Source organism: Homo sapiens, chromosome 17 (assembly GCF_000001405.40).
Source record: "Homo sapiens chromosome 17, GRCh38.p14 Primary Assembly".
NCBI lineage: Eukaryota > Metazoa > Chordata > Mammalia > Primates > Hominidae > Homo > Homo sapiens.
The window spans coordinates 72,342,609-72,363,090 of NC_000017.11; the positions used below are offsets into that span (position 1 = coordinate 72,342,609).

Consider the following 20,482-nt stretch of genomic DNA (forward strand, 5'->3'; position numbering starts at 1 on the left):
ATGAATTGCTATTCCTTCAGACAACGGGGTGGAAAACTGTGGTCTCCAAGGCAACGGGGTATCCTGGGGTGGGGTGCTGGGGAGGGGGGCCTTGCCCGGCCAGGAAAGGACTGGAAGTAAAGGGGGGTGGGGAGGCACAAGCCGAGATGATATCATTCCTGAAGCCTGCAAGCAGCCAATCCGCTGGTGAGGATATGATGTCATCTCCCCCGCCCCCGCCCCTCTTAGCCTAGGTAGCCCCACTGAGAATTCTAGACAAGTATTGAACTGAAGTTGTATTACTGTGAGAGAAAGGGGGCGGGGGATGGCGATGGGAGAGAGAAAGAGATCTACGGACCCTCTGGATGGCCGGAGCAGACACTACAGTCTTCACCAGAGGCAGCCCCATAAAAATGTCATCGTCTCGGGCTCTCCCCGCATTACAACACAATGATTTCTTTGGGGAGGAGAAAAAAAAACTAAGATTTATTTTGCAACCACACCTCCGCCTCCCTTGGAAGAGAAATACTGACCAACAACAAGTTGTGAATGAAATGTCTGCAGATCGGCCCCCCTCGCCCAGCCTGAGAACTTTCCAGACGGAAAGGCGCACACGTGCACACAGCACCAGCTGAGCCGATTTGTGCTGCTCTCAGCAGCCACCGGGGATGGAGGAACCGCTCAAGGATCTCCAGAGTGCGAGCCTGGTTCGGGACAAAGTTGCCCAACCTAGTGGTGTGAGCCACGTAAGGAGCTGGGGAGAGGGGAGTCTGTCCCCAAGACAATGACAGCATCTAGGGCTCAGTGCCAGGCTCCCGGGAGAAGCAAACAAGCCATGGCTTTAGGGAGGGGTGCAGGCTCATTAGAGAGCCCACTGAAGTGTTACCACCATGCAGAGAGGAGGGGTGAGAGGGCACGGCTCTCCTCTGCCAGTTTTTTTCTCTTGGGACGGGGAAGCAGTGCTGCTTGGAAAATAGCAAACTCAAACCTTCCCCCCAAATGCCAGAAATGTTCCCGGGAGTCCAGGCCACAAGGACAGTGTGTGCAATGGCTTGGACCAGGCCAGAGCTGTTCTCCCTCCCCTTAAACTATGCATAAAAAGGAGGTTCCCCCACATGCTCCTCCTGGGATCTTTCTGGGGTTATCCCACATGAACCCGCTTAGATTGCCTTTGAGGAAACAGAGAAGTGAAGATCCCCCATCCACTCCCCATTTTGGAAAAGTGGACATCAAGGCCCAGAGAAGGGACAGGACCAGCCCAATGACCAACAGAGTCACCAGTGACTCTGGGGCTATGCCTAGGACTCTGTCTCCAGTCTACTGTTCATTCCCAAGGACAAGCCCACAACACAGTAGCAGCACCTGCAGATGGAAAGCCTTCGATCTCAATGTCACCTGTTTGCCGCTTTCTGCATAAGTAATGTCATTGTTGGAATGAGTTTATGATGGTCTCCATCCCCATTTCTATGAGCTGTGAGCAAGACATCTGCTGCATAGCTCACGTGTGTTCAGGCCTCCCTGGACCAGCAGCTCTGACTCACACACGCACAGAACGGTAAGGCACAGCCTCACTCCCTAAGGGCCCGAGATCCAGGAAGGGGGACAAAACAGGGGTCATGTAAACATGTGTGAATTGCATACACGAGTAGGATGGATGAGGGCTGGGTTTGCTCAAAAAAAAGAGGTGCAACTCTGACTTTTAATAAATAGTTACTGGCGTCCTACTCTCTGCCAGGTGCTGAAATACAAACATGACTAGGTCTGAGTTCTACCCTCGTGGCATTTATATCAAGAGAAGGAGACTGAGGCTGTAAACTTAAATCTTCCCTATGGAAGCCCCAGGAAGGCAGGGGCTTGGTTGTATGGAGGCTGTATGAACCCGGCACCTAGCATAGCGCCTGCTATACAGTAAACACACGATATGTTGGATGACCAAACAGAAGCAGTGCCTGGAAGGATGTTTCTAACTCTAGAGGACGTTAGCGAAGAGGTGATACTCGAACGGGGCTTTGGAAGATTAATGATCGCTTGCCAGGTGAAAGGAGGGGGAACATTCAAAGTAGAGGGAACAACATTTGTAAAGGTATGACATATAAGTGCAGGACAGGATAGGTTAGATAAGAGAATGAATAACCCCTGTATTAGTCCGTTCTCACACTGCTATAAATAACTGCCCGAGACAGGGTAATTTATAAAGAAATTGACTCACAGTTCCACATGGCTGGGGCGACCTCAGGAAACTTACAATCATGGTGGAAGGGAAAGCAGTCATGTCTTACATGGCAGCAGGTAAGAGAGCATGTGTAGAAAGTGAAAGGGGAAGAGCCTCTTATAAAACCATCAGATCTTGTGAGAACTCACTCACTATCCTGAGAACAGCATGGGGGAAACTGCCCCCGTGATCCAATCACCTCCCACCAGGTCTCTCCCTCAACACCTGGGGATTACAATTCGAGATGAGATTTGGGTGGGGACACAAAGCCTAACCATATCAACCTCCAAATCCCCATGGCTTAAGATAACAAAGGTCTGTTGCTTGTTTTTGCTACATGTCCGTTGCAAGTCAGCTAGCGACTCTGCTCCATGCTGTGGCCACTCTCTGACCCAGGCTGATGGAGCAGCCACAACTGCAATATTATTGCTGGTCACCAGCGAAGATGAAAAGGAGGGCTCAGCCCTTAAGTGACACACCCTGCTGCTTATAACTCATTGGCCATAACTGGTTACATGACCCCACCCAACCCCAACAAGGGCCAGGAAGTACAGTCCTAACTCACCATAATCAGAAAGCTAGAAATATTCAGCAGCAGCATTAATGACTATCACACAAAGACATGTAAAATTGGTCTTGTGTCTTTGGGGAATATACACTGTGAGCTGCAGCAGTCCAGGAAGGCTTCATGGAGGAGATGGGCTCAAAACGGGCTCTGAAGAATAGACAAGAGCCAGGAAGGCAGAAAGAAGAGGGAAAGGCATTGCAGACAGCAGAAACAAGCCAAAGCCAGACACTGGGAATGAAGCTGGTACCAGGCAGCTGGCAGGGATGAGGAGGTGGACTAGAGCGGCAGGATTTGGTTATTTTACCAACTGGATGCTGATCCTTTCACGGTGTCAAGAAAAATTGATCCGGAACACCAGAATGCTAGGTGGCGCTCCTGCAATGCATGCTTTCTCTTTTGGGCCATGTTTTAAACCTTGTATTTGGGAAAATTTCAAATTTATAAAAAGTTACAGAAATAGTAAAAGAAATGCCTGTATACCCTTCACCTAGGGTTTTCTATTATTAACATTTTATTTTATTGAGACAGGGTCTTCCTCTGTCACCCACGCTGGAGTGCAGTGGTACAATCACGAATCCCTGAAACCTCTGCTCCCCCCAGCTCAAGCAATCCTCCCACCTCAGCCTCCCAAGTGGCTAAAACTACAGGCATGTGCCACCATGCCCAGCTTTGTGTGTGTGTGTGTGTGTGTGTGTGTGTGTGTAGAGACAGAGTTTTGCCATGTTGTCCAGGCTGATCTCGAACTCCTGGACTCAAGCAATCCACCCACTTCGGCTTCCCAGAGTTCTGGGATTCACAATATTCTCCTATATAACCACAGTGCAGTTACCACCTTCCCAAATTTGCATTGATAAACTACTTTAATCTCCATCTATGTTCCAGTTTTGTCAATTAATGCAATACTTTCCTTTCTTCCATGGTTTCCCTCCAGCTTAGAATCCAATCTAGAGACTGGCGTTGCATTAAGCTGCCTTGATTCTTTGGCCACCTCCAATCTGAAACGTTGCACAGCTTTCTCACCTTTTTATAACAATCACGTTTTTAAAGAACACAGTCCCAGCTTACACCTCTTTTCCTTTAATAGACTGTTCCACCTGGGGCTTTTGTCTGATGTTTCCTGGTGAACAAATAGACTTTGTACATTCCGGGCAGCTGTGCTACTAGGTGATGCTATGTCCTCATGGTGTCCCTTCTGGAGGCACGAGATGTCATCTGCCCTCTTGGGTGATTATATTTTTGATCCCCTGCTTAAGATATTGCCCAGTTTTCCCACAAATAATAGTTGCTTTTGTGGGGTTTTCTCTTCCCTTGCAAATTAATAAGCAGTCAGAAAGGACACACTTTAAGATGATACAAATATCCTGTTCCTAGGCCGGGTGCGGTGGCTCACGCCTGTAATCCCAGCACTTTGGGAAGTTGAGGCAGGCAGATCACTTGAAGTCAGCCTGGCCAATGTGGTGAAACCCCATGTCTACTAAAAATACAAAAATTAGCTGAGCATGGTGGTGTAACCCCAGCTACTCAGGAGGATGAGGCACAAGAATCGCTTGAACCTTGGAGGCAGAGGTTGCAGTGAGCCGAGATCACGCTACTGCACTCCAGCCTGGGTGATAGAGTAAGACTCTGTGTCAAAAAAAAAAAAAAAAAAAGAAAGAAAGAAAAGAAAAGAAAAAATAAAAGAAACAAAGAAACTCAAAGAATCAACTCTATGGAAATTGCTGGTTCCCTTTCGGAACAGATTCTTGGAGCCAAAAGAAAAGGACGTAGAGGCACAAGGCAGAGACGTGAAGATATGATTTCCTTCCACCAGTGCAGCTCTGCATGCCACATTCTTAGCAGTTTTTCACAGCCTGGACACAAGGGTCCCTATGACCATCTTCATTTTTGGTGCCAGCGCTGTCCAATTCTTTGTTGGGTTACTCCATCCCCCTATGCTGATCTTCTAATAAATAATACTTGGGCGAGGTTTCTCTACTCCCATTGTACATATGGTGACACTGAGTTTCCCCCAATTCAGAAGCCTTGCCTTAAGGTCTCTCCAGGGACAGGAAATTATCAGCTTCCACATGGGTCAGGCAGTGCTAGTTAGAGGGGACACCAGAGTCACTGGCCCCTCATAACAGGACTGTAAAGAACAGTGGTTTCCACCTAAGCAAAATGGGGAGGCCAGAGGGCTGCAGAGTGTGCAGGGCGGTTTCTGATGCAGGCACCACATAACCCTTATTCTTGGATGCTTTCCCTCCAGCATCCTTGCATTTTTGTTTTGCTTAAGAGATGGGGCTTTGGAATCAGCCATCTGGGACAATTTCCTTTAACCTCCACGAGCCTGTTTCCTCAGTAAATGGGGGTGATGATACCGACATCTCAGGGCTGTGTTATGGTTAAATTAGACAATGTATTTTTCTTTTTTTTTTTTCTAAGCTCACCTGTCCTTATAATTCTTTAATGCAAATGAGTGCTAATCACTAGAGCTAAAGTTACAACATACAATTAATAAACATGGGCCACAAGGATATAATAATGTGTTTCCATAGCTTTTGAACTGTTTTTCAGGTAGAGTTTGATCCTGTATCATAACCTGAGGATTGATTGAACTTAGACAATGTATTTTCCACTTGTGCTTAGCCCAGTGACCAGAAGAAGCCTCGATATTTTGAAAGCACAGCTGTATTTCTAGAAAAGGCCTTCAAAGAGGTAATTAAGGTAAAACAAGGTGATATGGGTGAGCCCATTTCCAATACGACTGATGTCCTTATAAAAGGAGGAGATTAGATCAATGTTTCAGATGATGGCTATGCTGATCACTCTGATCTGATCACTATACAGTCTGTGGATCAAAACATCGCTATGTACCCCATGAATATGCACAGTTACTATTTGTTGATTTTTTTTAATTAAATTAAATTGACTTTTAAAAAAAGAAAAAAAAGAGACCAGCTGGAACGAAAAAAAAAACAAAAAACAAACAAACAAACAAAAAACAGAAAACAAAGAGAAAAAATAACAAGAAGAAGAAGAGATTAGGACACAGACATGTGCAAGCACAGAGAAAAAGACCAGGTGAGAACGCAGCGAGAGGGAGAAGGCACCCAGTTTTTAAGCCACAGAGAGGCCTCAGGAGGAAAGAAAAAAACCTGCAGACACCCCGACCTTGGGTGTCCAGCCTGCAGAACCGGCCCACGGTGAAGCATTGCTGGAACTCACTCCTCAGGGGATGGGATTGGGACGGGTCATCTAGCCCACGCCTCCAACCTCTTTGACCAAGTTCCTGAGCCTTTGGCTTGAAAGAGGGGGGTGGAAAACAGAAAAGACACCACTATTCATTTTGCCCAGCTCGAGCGTTCACTTAAAACAGCCCAGATCAGCCGGGTGTGGTGGCTTACACCTGTAATCCCAGCACTTTGGGAGGCCAAGGCGGGTGGATCACGAGGTCGGGAGTTCGAGACCCGCCTGGCCATCATGGTGAAACCCCGTTTCAACTAAAAATACCAAAAAAAAAAAAAAAATTAGCTGGGCATGGTGGCAGGCACCTGTAATTCTAGCTACTTCAGGAGGCTGAGGCAGGAGAATTGCTTGAACCCGGGAGGCGGAGGTTCCAGTGAGCCGAGATTGCACCATTGCCTGGGAGACAAGAGTGAAACTCTGTAAAAAAAAAACAAAACACCGCAGTCCAGATCCACTAGCACCACACACATCCCTCCCCAGAGCCCGTGCCATAGCCCTTGACATCAGAGCTGGGGGTCAGAGCAGCACTGAATAAAATCCCTCACTGTTGGTCCATGGCTTCTGACAAGCTAGTTCTCTATTGCCATTCACCCACTGGGGGGCAAGGCTGCTGGGCCAGATGTGGAGAAGATGCTGAAACCCTGAGTCAACAGTCAGCTCACCTGAGACACTGGCTGCTTAGGCAGAGGAAGACCCGACCTTGGCTCCTATGGGGCTGCCAGCCAGCATCAGTTCAGGCTGCATAGAAGCCCCTTACCTGACTGACCAGGCAGGCCAGGAAGAATCCCCTTTCCCTTGCATTCTCACAAGGCGCCCCCGCCACCAACCCCATGTCTTCATGTCACTTGACCCTGGCTGCTGCCTTCCTAGCAGTCAGGAGGCTCTGGAAGATGGAGGAGTGGAAGGAGGCGTGGGAAGGTGGAGGGCTGGAGGGACGGCAGGACCTGGAGAGGACCCTTCTAACAGTTCAACTTGGCCCTGTTCCACGGGGCAGGCTGCCCGCACTTGGGGCTCCATCTGTGGCCTGTTCCCATGCAACCTTGGCCTTCTCCCCGCAGGCAAATCAGGGCATGTCCAGAAACGATTACAATCAGCCGCACTACCCTGAGAGCTGCCCCAGAGCCCAGCCAGGGCAGAAAACACACTGTTCTTCCATTTTATGAATGAGCAAAGCCGTATGCTTTCTATAAATGTCTGCGTAAATCATCGGTGTGCATTCCCCTCTTGGCACAAGAAAAACCCAATCCAGACTGCACAGGCAGCTTCTTCTCCAGGAGGGAGGCCCAGGGGCCGTTCTCTCCATTTCTTCTGGGCTCTAGGGAGCTGCCTCCTGGGCTGGTCTCTGGTTCTGCAGAGAAAGCTCTTGCTCGGACAATGATTCGGCCCCAAAGGGGCAACAGCTCACCTTTCCAGGGGCCTCCTGGGCTGAGCTCCAGGTGAGGCCCAGCCAGACCTGCTGGGGTTCAGGGGATGTTTTGTAAGCCATCCTCCTGGGAGCTCCAACTCTCCCAGGCCCACAGCCCTACCCTGCCCATCACAGCCTGCACGGCCATTGGAAAGGTCTCTGTGCCACTGGCATTTTATGTAAAAGCTCCATGTCCACTTAACTAATAAGTAATCATTAATATTACCCCTGGCCCATGTAACCAACTGTTAAACTGACACTAATGAAGTGAGTCGTGGGCACCATGACCAACATTAAAGCCAAGTCTGAACTGTTCACTTAAATGACTCAGGCTGATTTATACATCGTGCCTTGCATTTAACCAGAATGGTGGGTATTTTATATCAAAATGCACAGACATTCCCTCCATCCTGGCTTTATTCTTTCTGACTACCTCCCAGCCCCAACTGGATCAGACCAGACCAAACCAGATGGTCCCGGCCTTAATTATCTGGATCATAGTGTTACCTTCTTGGTGAAAATGCATTCCCAAAAACTGGGAAATGGATGGAAAATCTGGTGTTCAAAATAATGTATTAATGAGCACGTTTGACTTTGACTTTGGAGTTGGCTGAAATGAGCATGCTATGAAATTTGGCTAATTCAAATGGGTTGAGTCCTCATTTTATGAATGAGCAACGCTGGGGAGGAAGGGGAGCAAGCCGGGGAGGAAGACAACTCCATGTTGGGAGGACCCATCTCTGCAGGTGCGGCTTACCAGCCTCACTCCAAGGCTGGTTTCTAAGAGGCAGGAGAAAGTCACAACCCAGGAGATTCGAGTTAGGGAAACTCTGCTGAGGACACTCACTCCTGCTTCTGCCCTTACCTTCTTCCCAAGCATGCTGGGGTTGGGGGTGTCCCTTTTAATTTAGAGGTTAGTGACACATGCATCTCATAGGACATTATACTTGTGCCAGCTAGCCTGCCTTCCTCGTGGACCCACCCCCAGCTTCAGGGACACCAGAGGCAGCCACTTGCCTCCATCATCTACCCAGGAATCACGCACAGGATTGGGAGTGGGCAGCACCTAGGAGGAGCGAAGCTGCAAGGAGCCCTGAGCGGGGCCAGGTGGGCCAGGCCGGGAGACCGGGTGGCCGTAAGAACCCCAGGGCTCCTCTGGGACAGCATGGCATGGGTGTTTGGGGTTGGGCAGATGTTGGGGCATTTCCCTTCTAAAGACCTTGGAAACTGGTGCTTCCACAGCCAACATTGAGAGTTTGGGGTGGGAGAATTCCGGGTCTGCAGATAGCACCTGCTCCCTGTAACCCCTTGCAGAAGGACAGAGGGGCCAATAGAGAGGGGCAGGTAAGGAGCCACCTGGACAATGGCTGCATCGAGGCCGCCTGGGATAAAAGTTAGATCTTACCCTGCAATCCTGGTAGACGCACCAGGATACCCATCTCGCCATGTGGCACCATGGACTGACTTGGAGCAGGTTAACTTCACTGCTTGATTTTTTATTTTTTTTCAGTTCACTGTTTGGCTTTGATTCCTAGATCCCTTACAGCTGTGTGACCCTGGCCAGGTTACCTAACCTCTCTGACCTTCACTTTCCACATCCATGCAATGGTCATGAGAACAACCACACCATTCATGAGAAAGGGTTAAGTAAGATATTGCATAGAAAGCCCTTTGCACAGCACCTGGCACGTGGTAAGTGCTCCTAAAAGATGGCTATTGTCATCTTCGTTATTCTTCCCTTCAGCTGTCTAACCTCTGTGCCTGTGGACAGGAGGTTCTAGTCTCCCCGCTTTCCCACTCATCAGCCTCACATCCTCCTGTTTACTCTCAGGAGAGTTGGTGGCAGGTCTGAGAGCTGTCGGTTGCAAGCCCAGCGATCTCAGCAGAGCCAGCTCTCAGCAAGTCCATTTCCACCTGAACTGCCAAGGTGTGCAGTCCCAGGCCAGGCCTGCGGGCTGTCACGTTTAGCATTTGGTTCTCTTTCCCTCTACTCCTTGCCTCGCCTGCCCCTAAGGACGCTCTCAGCCACCCTGCTGCCTCTGTCAGGCCCTAACTCGTTCGGCCGGCTTGCCTTGGTACCGGGGCTTATCCAAACATCTTCATCGCTTTTCATAAATTCAATCCCTCCTTATCAGCCGCACCATCAGGAGGAAGGGCAGGAGGGGCTTGTGACTGAAGTGTGGGGAAGAGAAGCTTTAATTAGCCTCCTTGCTTCGCGGGGTCACCCGCAGTTCAACCGCCCTGCCTCCGCATGCTCCCAATCACGTAGTGGGAAGCCAGCCCTGCCGCGATCTCGCCACGCTGCACACAGCCTGCATGGCTGGCCTCTGCTCCCCGTGTCCAGGGATGGGTTCCTGCCCCTGGCTGTGTGCTGGGCAGGAGTCCTGCAAATTGGAAAGGAAAATCAGCCAGCACCATCCCTTAGAACATCAGTTTTGAGACAGCCGCTTTGCCCCCATCTCCCAACTCACAGTACAATACTGCTGCAGCAAAACCCCAACCTTGGTTCCATGAGCAAACTCACTTTGCAGAGAGTGCCAAGCCTCTCTGTCAGAATGCAAAGTGCTTTTGCCAGTCCTCAAAAATGGCCTCCGTGATAACGAGGTTAAAAGAGCACTGGGCTTCAAGTCGAGCTTACCGACATTCTGAATTCTGCTGCCTTTTAGTTGTGCAGCCTTGGAAAAGTTTCCTCATCCTCAAAAATAACAGAGCATGGATGAGAGTACCTATCCTTCCTACCTTCCAATGCTGTGAGCCCTAAGCAGGAACATATGCAAATATACTTCCCAGTGTGCCAAATTCTAAATAAATGACACGTATTCCTAGCCGTCCAGCCCACTAGGCGTGTGGCAACATCTTGCCCAAAATATCAGGCTCAGAGACTGATTCTTTCCACACTTGTTTATTCACTTAACTCGGCCACTGCCCTGAAGCCCAATTTCTTCCATGAAGACCTTAACCTGAATCCCCAGCACCTTGCTGCTAGGATTTAAAAGCTGGGGCTAATTTTTCCTGGTATAAGGACATTGTCCCCAACTCCACCCCCATCTATCACTGGTTGCTTACTCTTCCTGAACATTCAACCACTCGGTGAGGGTTGTACGGGAAGCCAAACACAGCCCTTCCCAGATCCCTGCCTTGTACTTTACATCAGCTTCAAATTCCCTAGATAATCAAATAGCCAAATTCATTTGATAACAGCATTTCTTTGCAAGCATGCTTCTCAGTGCCAAGCCTCATACTAGCGCCTAGGAGAAGTCCTTGGCTGTTTCTGGGCTGCCCAGAGGGGCAATAAACAGTGAGACCCTAGGGTTTACTCTCCGACTAGGACTGTCTTGGGCAAATGACTATGGATTTCTTAGATCTTTGGGGAGAAGGCAGAGGCAATTTCACAGATAGAATCCAAAGAGTGGATGCTCAAAGGTGCTGAATGAATGAATTCTTTAGTCATCATGTTCTCTGGGAGAAACGGAAACTCTCATCCTTCGATTTGGTTCATAAACGGACCCATCGGAGAGGAGCCCCTCACCCAGTGCTCAGCCTAGTGCTGACCCATTAACATGCAATGAGTGTTAGACCAGAGGAGACAGATCGAAGAGAAAGAGACACAGTCTTAGATTCCCCAAGAGGTCCCAGCCCACGCACTCATGATTATGATTATAGCTGGCATGTATGCGTTATCCAGGCCTTCCGAGCACATTCTCATGCATTTTCTCTTTTGATCTGAGGCAGATAACGCAGATGGGAGCATGCGCCTGGAAGGCCACCCTGCTGCACAGCACACTGACTGAGCAAGAACAAAGACCGTAAATGAAGAAGGATGTTTGCATTCTGCTCCTCGCTTGCCTGAAAACAGGAAACTTTGGAGACCTGTTCTGGCAAGGTTTCCACCTCTTCCTCACCCCAAAGGTGAATAGCCTAAGAGGTCTTATTTTTATTACTTTTTTTTAAGAGGACAAATCCTTTCCAAAGCACTTTTCTTTTTCCTTTCGTTTTGCTGCTGTGATAGGGAACTGTGTGTGTTCTGATGGTTCAATGGGGAAATGAGGATCGATCATGAGTGATTTTCCCGAAATGCAACCTGTGCAGGTCTTGCCTTCCTCAAGCACCTGCGAGGAGAAGTCGTCACTAGTGGGGAATTCCAGCAGGTGACCCAATCGAGACAGCTGGGCAGGCTCCTGGAGCTGATGGCTTGGGAAGGAGGGAGTCAGAAGTGGCAGGCCCATGGAGGTATGCCTGTCCGCGGATGACCGGGATCACAAAACAATGACACTGACTTGTCGTGGGGATGGTATGAACAGACATGAGGAAGGATTGGAGAAGATCTCTGTTGCTGACAGAGGACAGGGACCAGTCAGCTAGGAAACCCAGAGGCCAGATATGTCTGAGCGTAGGAGCAGGAGCAGTGAGGTATCTCTGGAAGCAGCAGGCAGGACCTGGGCTGGAATGGCTTTGTGAGATTCTATTCTGCAGCCTCGGCAGCCTGAGTCTTACAGCCCCAATTCTTAAAGTTGAAACATGTGCAAGGTACTAAATCTCTGTATCAGTCAGGGTCCTCCAGAGAATCAGAACTAATAGTAGATGATAGATGATAGACAGATGATAGATACATAGATAGATACATAGATACATAGATAGATACATAGATACATAGATAGATACATAGATAGACAGATAGATGATAGATAGACAGATAATCTATTTTAATAAATTAGCTCAAGCAATTGTAGGCACTGGGAGGTCTGAAATCTGGAGGGCAGGCCAATAGGGTGGCAATTGTGGATGTTGCAATCTTGAGGTCAAAATCTGTAGGGCAAGCTGGCAGGCTGGAAACCCAGCCAGGAGTTGATGGTATACTCTTGAGGAGAATTTCTTCTTCCCTAGAAAACCTCAGATTTTGCTTTTAGGGCCTTCAACTCATTGGATGAAGCCCACCCTTATTCCCAAGGATAATCTCCTTTACTCAAGGTCAACTGATTGTTGATGTTAATGACATCCACAAAATGTCTTCACAGCAACGGGATTGCTTCACAGTAATGGGATTGCTGGGTCAAATGGTAATTATCCTTATGATTTTCTTAATACCATTGTCTTTTCTCTACCTTACTTTATTGTAGTAATACAGTATATAGTACCTATAACATACAAAGTATGTGTTAAAATAATGTCTATGTCACTGGTAAGTCTTCCAGTCAATACAAGTCTATTAGTTAGGTTTCAGGGGAGTCAAAAGTTATACACAGGTTTTCAACTACCTGGTGGCTCAACACCCCTAACTCCTACATTGTTCAAGAGTCAACTATATGTAGAAGTTGAACCAGAGGCTATCCACTTGTAGCAAATGGTTACATCACTTATCACATATGCTATGTGATATCACACATGCTATGGAATATCATACTGCAGTTACAAAAGAATAAGGTATCCATATACACTGATGGGGAAATGGCAGAACTATGCATATACTACGTCTTAGTCTGTTCATCCCACTACAACAAAATATCATAGCCTGAGTGGCTTATATATGACAGAAATTTACTTCTCACAGTTCTGGAAGTTGGAGATTCAAGGTCAGAGCACCAGCCTGGTTGGGTTCTGGTGAGGGTCCTTTTCTGGGTTGCAGACTGCTGACCCCTTGTGATGTGCTCACATGGCAAAAGGGGGAAATAGCTTCCTGAGGCTTCTTTTATAAGGGCACTAATCCCATATACAAGGGTGTCATCCTGATGACCTAATCACCTCCCAAAGGCCCTACCCCCAGTACATCACCTTGGGGTTAGAATTTCAACATATGAATTATGGGAGGACACATCCAGACTATAGCATACTATAAGCCAAACCTTTAAGCTCTATCTTCACTTGTGTGTTTGTGTGCACTGTGTGTATGTGTGTCCCGAAAGAAGACCAGAATAAAGTATACAAGGCTGTTCTAGTGGTTACCCAGAGGAGGAAAGTGAGATGGGTGGTGGGGCAAGAGAGATGGGATTAGTCAACCTATATATACCGATCCTGTTGTTTCTAACCAGAATGTAGTCACATGTCATCTATATGATTTTAGATAACAGTAACAACAACAATAACAATAAACAAAGAAACTGAGTAAACTTAGGCTAGTTCCTGTCATTACTTCAGAATTGTCCCATCTTCTCTAGTCTCCAAATTCTCCTGGGTGGTGCCTGTCAAAAGTTTAGCTTACTATTAAGGAGTGTGTAAGCAAGATTGTTAGCAAATACCATCATAATGCTAAAATTTTTCCATTGAACCTTCAGTTATGGTATCATTTAGGGTCCTGGCAGGAAATAAATGACACACTCAAGTTAGGTGATTCTGAGGTGAGTTAGTAAAGGGGTTATCGTACAAGGTGTGTCATGCAGGACAGTGCCACCCATAGGGCTCCAGTACTGCCCTCGAGGGAGCAGCTGCAAGTGACCACACAGGGGGATAGAATGGGGAGGGGACGGTTGGGCGCAGTGGCTCACGCCTGTACTCCCAGCACTTTGGGAGGCCAAGGCGGGAGATCACCTGAGGTCAGGAGTTCGAGACCAGCCTGGCCAACATGGTGAAACCCCATCTCTACTAAAAATAAAAAATTAGCCAGATGTGGTGGCAGGCACCTGTAGTCCCAGCTACTCGGGAGGTTGAGACAGAAGAATTGCTTGAACCCAGGAGGTGGAGGTGGCAGTGAGCTGAGACTGCCCCATTGCACTCCAGCCTGGGGGACGGAGTGAGACTCTGTTTCAAAAAAAAAAAAAAAAAAAAAAGAATGGGGAGGGGACAGTGTGATGGTTAATACTGAGTGTCAACTTGATCAGACTGAAGAATGCAAAGTACTGTTCCTGGGTGTGTCTGTGAGGGTGTTACCAAAGGAGATTAACATTTGAGTCAGTGGACTAGGAAAGGCAGACCCACACTCAATCTGGGTGGGCACCATGTAATTAGCTGCCAGTGCGGCCAGAATAAAAGCAGGCAGAGGAGCGTGGAAGGACTAGACTAGCTTAGTCTTCTGGCCTTCATCTTTCTCCCGTGCTGGATGCTTCCTGCCCTCAAACATCGAACTCCAAGTTCTTCAGCTTTTGGACTCTTGGACCTTCGACCACAGACTGAAGGCTGCATGCACTGTCGGCTTCCCTACCTTTGAGGTTTTGGGACTCGGACTGGCTTCCTTGCTGCTCAGCTTACAGACAGCCTATTGTGGGACCTCACCTTGTGATCGTCTGAGTCAATACTCCTTAATAAATTCCCGTTCATATCTACATCTGTCCTATTAGTTCTGTCCCTCTAGAGAACCTTAATACAATGAACACCGCAGCCTCACTCTCCTCACTCTCTCCCATCTCCCACCAAAGTTCACCATTTTCCAAAACCAACCAGAAGCCCTAGGGGGCAGGGAGAGTGTTGATGCAGTTCATACAGGTTAGCCTCCTGGAGCACAGAGCAGGGTAGGGCAGAGTAGAGAGGGGCAAGCAGGGAAATCCACACTCACAGCAGCCATTCTAATGAGAAAAACCATGAACAATCACAGCTAGATTTTTGGCTGAAACATTACGCTCCCATTTGGCTATGCGTATGTATTTTGTCTGCGCTCCACTTCATCTCAAACTGGTTTTGTGCTCTTGGGCACCCTCCCACTCCAGTCCTGGGCCCCTAATTTTTTGATCCATAGGATGAGGGTACTGGGTGAATCCAATTATTTCCGAGATTCTTTCCAGCTCTAATGGCCATAACTCTCGAGTCTAGCCCTCTACCTGAGCCTTGAGCCTTTCTATGGTTGGAAACTGCTGGTGACAGGTCATGAGTCTGCAGGGGTCTTTGTGCAGATCCTGCCTCTTCTACTTGGCACAAAGAAGGCAAAACAGGTCTGCAAAAGTGGGCCAGTTCTTAACACTGTCTGTGCCTGGGCTCCCCACTGGAAGAACCCAAGGAAAATAAGTAAAATCTACCCTGTTGAACTGACAGGCGGTATTGCTGATTCATCATCACCAGACAAGAGGCAGGTAAGTGGGGAAATGTAGTAACAGAGCTTTTTTTTTTTCTTTTTTTTTTTAACCTATTTCAGTGCCCTGTTTTCTCCTCTATGCCCTGCTCAGCTACAACTCTGTGAATCAGGATAAAGATAGTTCAATTTCCAGAAGTGTTGCCAACAGCCCCCATTCCTCAACCAAATACTCACATCTGAGAAATGTAATGTGCAATTCACATGCTATTTGCATGCCCTTATCCTAAACAGGAGAATGACCCATTGTCGTTGGACTCTGCCTTTCCAAGTCGTAAGCTCTGAGGTCTCCTTTCTCTCAAATCTGGCCATGCCCTTGAAATCCCAGCATGCTTCTGTCCTCAGAGCATAGGGGCTTTTTGTTGTGACCTTGAACCAACAGTGCACAAAATCTGAGAATTTTGAAGAATACAGAACACAACTTTATGCCAAGAAGAAGCTATAGTTGTGCTCATAAATTCTTCCTCCAAGGCTTAAAGGTCATTCCCTACCATTTTTCTTGCAGACTTTTGGTTTCAATATAAGGTGGGCCTGCTCAAAGGCAAGAATTTTCCTGGGCATTTTTTTCTCAAGCATTGCAGCTGTACTTAGGTGAGGAGCCATAACAATGGGATGTGGAATAGAGCCAATCAGCTGAAGAAATTGATACTGAATAAGGAAATATTTCTTACCAGTGAGAGACTCTCAACAATGAAATCAGTGCCCTAGCAATGCACAGCATTGCAAGAGATTGAGTCACACCATGTTAGGGTCCATGCCAATATGAAACACCCAATTACCCATCCTTTCAGGTATGAGAGTTAAGAAAGACATGCTAGGAGGGTCTCAGTGATTCTTCCTCTGCTTTTGGTTGATTTTAGTTTTCAGGGAGTGATTTGGTTGACCTGTGAATTCTTAGCTTTAAATAAATGCTGGGGACCATAGAGATGAGAGCTGTTCTTCATCTGTGGACCTCCTAAGAGAAAGGAATAGAATTAACATTAATTGAGAATGAATAGACAGCCAAGCAGGATTCTAAGGGTTCTATAAACATTATTGCATTGAATCATCGCAAATATCATGCCCATTTAAAGATGTGGAAATGGAGGCAAAGGAAATGAAGTGTGTTTATCAGGACCACTAACCTGTAGGGCTAATACTTAAACCTGGGTCACTCTGACTTTGGTGGCCTTGGAGGCCCGCCCACATCAACACACCACCTAGGTGAGGATTCAGATAAACTGACTTCAGTCTGGGTTTAATGACTCTTGAGGTCTCAAAATGGCAGTCGTTAGGTTTGTTTCTATTCTGTAGGCTGTGCCGTTCCTCCCAGAGCTGGGTCTGCTTCCCTGCCCTCCTGACTGCCTGCAAGGAGGTCCAGCCACATTGCAGAGGAAGGACTTGCTTATGGAAAGAAATGGAGAGACCCAGCCTCCCTCACCTCCCATTGGTGCCTGATGATTAATACATTTTTTGCTGCCCTTGGAAATGGAAGACAGTGCCAACTGCTTAGTTCTCCTGGCTGGGCCAGCGCAACCTGTATGACAAGGGGGAAGAGCCTTTAAGTGAGGCAGGAGAGGAGCTGGGCTCTGGGCAGAAAAGCTCCCCAAAGCAAGTGTGCTGGGAGGATGCTTTTTGTATTTTAACCAATGTTCACCTCTGTCTCCCCCAGCACAATATTTCCTTGCACTGCTTGGTCTTTCCTCGTCTAGTTAGTGAGGCCCTATTGAATTTGCTGCATTAGAGTGTGGATAACACCCCCAAATCAAAGAAATAGCATAATACACCCTGGTTTTTGAGTTTCAAAGAAGGTTTTTGAAAGGTATTGCAAATACAACAGATTTGGAAGAACATGTGCTGAGGTCTAGTGAAGCGGCCCTTAGATAAAAGCTGAGAGATTCCGTGTTGGGGGAGCAAAGGGAGCCAGGCTCAAAGCAGAGAGTGAGATGATATGCCAAGTACTGAGTCAGGGGTACTACTGAGTACTGAGATGATATGCCAGGTACTGAGTCAGGGGTACTGCTGAGTACTGAGATGATATGCCAGGTACTGAGTCAGGGGTACTACCAGGGTGCTCTGAATAAGTAGACAGGCATGTCCTCTGGTTGGGATCAAAAGACTACTCGGCAGTGCCCAGGGTGAATGAACGGCTGAGGAACCCATAGCAGCCTGTTGGAGGTCTCAGATGAGCCCAGTGCAGACATGTGATGTAGAGAGCACACTGTCCCACTCCGTAATTGCCAGAGCATTGTTAGCCTTCCCTGTTCCCTGAACTTAGAGGCAACACCCATGAAAAGGGTAGGAAGGATCTGAAATGCCCCACTGCAATTGAGTTATCAGATAATATGAGTTCTATTTCTTGCATTTCTGAGTTTGTAAACTGAGGTTCATGCTGGCTCTCTGAGTCAGGCACCTCCCTGAGACAGATCTCTGCCACCCGCTCCCTCTCCACACAGTGCATAGAGTTTGCTCCCTCCCCTCCTCACTGCAAGGCTGCTGGGCACCTGCCCCGTGGGTATCTCTGTCACCCAGAAGACTCCTCTACCCCCCTGCCTACTGCACCCATGCAGGCTTCTGCACAGCCAGACCTGTTCTCTTGGAGTCTTGGACTTTGACCTGCCCCATCAAAGGACAGCAGCCAAGGTGACAAGCCCATCCCAGTTCAGATCCTCTGGCAGAGGTAGATACTGAGGCAAGAGACAGGCTAAAGGGAAAGCATAATATCCTCCAACCCCCCATCTCTGGGAACACTGTATCTGAGGTTTGTTTGGCCACCCAAGATGCTGGGCTCTGCCAGACCAGATAACCATTCCGGTTTGACAGGCACCCACGGCCCCCTGGTATGCGCCTTTGACCCACCAGATAGTTCTGTTTTCCTTTTCCTCTGAGATCCCCCGAGCTTCTGTTCCCCCCTTCTCACCTGGCTGGAGAGATGTCACCCAGCTAACATCTTCTAACCCTACAAGAGGCAAGTTACAGGATGCCCCAACATCATGATTTTTTTTTTTAGCTTTCAAAACCTTGGAAGTACTGCAGGGTGAACCATGGTTTGAGATACCTTGCAGCAGTGTTTCTCTGCCATTTCCCCCTGCAGCACATGTTTGTCTTTCTAAAATATTTCTTTTCCTTTTCTTTTTTTTTTTTTTTTTTTGACGGAATCTCACTCTGTCACCAGGCTGAAGTGCAGTGGCGCGATCTTGGCTCACTGCAACCTCCGCCTCCCGGGTTCAAGCGATTCTCCTGCCTCAGCCTCCCAAGTAGCTGGGACTACAGGCACACGCTACCATGCCCAGCTAATTGTTGTATTTTTAGTAGAGACGGGGTTTCACCATGTTGGCCAGGATAGTCTCGATCTCTTGACCTTGTGATCCGACCGCCTCGGCCTCCCAAACTGCTGGGATTACAGGTGTGAGCCACCACACTCAGCCTACAATATTTCTATTTCTGAGTTTGTAAACTCAGAAATCTGAGTTTAGGGCAACCAGGGCAACCAAATTACTCTCTGAAAACTAAAATCAGCTCAGGTTTGATCTCCTACCATGCACCAGGCTCTGCTGTAGGGAATGGGATCAGGCATAAGCAAGATCTACAGGGTTCCTGCTCTCAGGGAGTGTCCATTCCACCCCGGAAGGGTAGACATGGAGATGCATGGCTCAGATCCTTCAAAAAGGACTTGCTGCCTGACTGAGAGGAGCTTGACTGGCTGACAGCCACTGCACTGGTGTCTTCGAGGTCCTCGTCAGTTTTCAGGCTGAGGTCATGCTGTTCTTGAGGCAGCCCTAGCTAATGACTATGCAAGGTGGTGGCACAAGGGCCAACCCATTTCTACCCACATGGGACTTCTCCAATGGGCAGTCTCTGCTCCAAAGCTCCTGGAGACTGCCCAGGTTGCCTTCACGTTCTGATGGTTCCCCCTGCCCAATCCAGCTCCCTCCTCTTTTCCCTCATAGGTTGCTTATTCCCCCAATAAACCCATAACTCCATCTCTGCATTGGCTTCCTGGAAACCCAACTGGTATGCGGGGGACATACACACCAGCACGAGTGTCGGTAGTGACACATGCTATGGGAAAAGAACAGAGCCCCTGGACAGAGGCTGACTCACTACTAGAAGAGGGCCGGGTTCGCTAGATGTCAGGTGCACCCAGCCTCTGAGAAGGGCATGTGTGAGCTGAGACATGAGGAGGAGGAGCCAGCCATATTCAGAGGAGCCGGGAAAGGGCTCCAGGCAGTGTAGGAAGGAAGACTTGTATTGGAGGTCCATGAAGAAGCAACTGAATAGAGCACAGTGTTGAGAGATGAGAGAGGAAAAGGAGATGAGGCCAACAGGGCCAACAGAGTCTTGGATGTCCAGTTCTCCTCCAAGTGAACTTCGAGAACAGCAACGTGATCTGTGTGCAGCATGATCCCACAGACAAACCCAAATGTGATGAGGCAATAAAACATGGCAATAACATGTCATCGCCAGACTACTCACAGCTGATTAGCAAAAGCAGCTAACCTCATCCTGGCTGTGACCTCCATGAGACAGGCTAGGAGCAATGGGCAACTCTGGCCACTCGGAAAATCATCTTGGACTGCGAGGGAGTGAAAGGGATGTTGCTATGTTAGTACCTGCTCTGATTTGTTTTTAAAAAGTGAATCACTCCCAAACCTCAGGGTGTTATTCATAACCCGTCACTTGTTCTCCTGCGTGATGGTGACACATTTGCATGTCATGACAACCTGGATGAGCACTGCTTCCCTGGAGTAGGGGAGTAGGGGGGGTGGGAATGGGGGGAGGTGGTTGAGATGCCAGAGAGCCTTGCCCTAAATCAGTGGTTCTCAACTGGAGGCGATTTGGTTCCCCAGGGGTATTTGGCAACGTCTGAGGACATTTTTAGTTTTTACACTTGTGAGGCTGGGAATGCTACTGGCATCTAGTGGGTAGAGGTCAAGGGCATGGCTAAACATCCTACAGTGCACAGAACAACCCCTGCCCACAAAGAGTGATTCAGCTCCAAACGTCAACAGTGCTGCAATGAGCTTGAGAAACCCTGCCCTAAATCAAGAGCCAAATTGTTCCTCTCTGAACCAAGGGATGCTCTCAGACAGGGGTCTTTGGATGAGGGCACGCAGCAGA

General features: G+C 48.2%; 1 long non-coding RNA gene across 1 annotated transcript, besides 1 other annotated feature; it reads left to right on the forward strand.

Annotated features, from left to right (window-relative positions):
• Window positions 1-202: 202 nt before the first annotated feature.
• On the forward strand, window positions 203-12,528 carry LINC02003 (long intergenic non-protein coding RNA 2003). The gene is made up of 4 exons (NR_135222.1): window positions 203-1,534; window positions 11,122-11,298; window positions 11,399-11,619; window positions 12,297-12,528. It is a non-coding gene; the product is annotated as a long intergenic non-protein coding RNA 2003 (long non-coding RNA).
• Window positions 2,075-2,134: an enhancer, noted in NCBI's record as "active region_12668". NCBI's record gives its function as "activates an Ori minimal core promoter by ATAC-STARR-seq in GM12878 lymphoblastoid cells {active_cell/tissue: GM12878}" and the evidence as "EXISTENCE:reporter gene assay evidence [ECO:0000049][PMID:35858748]".
• Window positions 12,529-20,482: the final 7,954 nt, after the last annotated feature.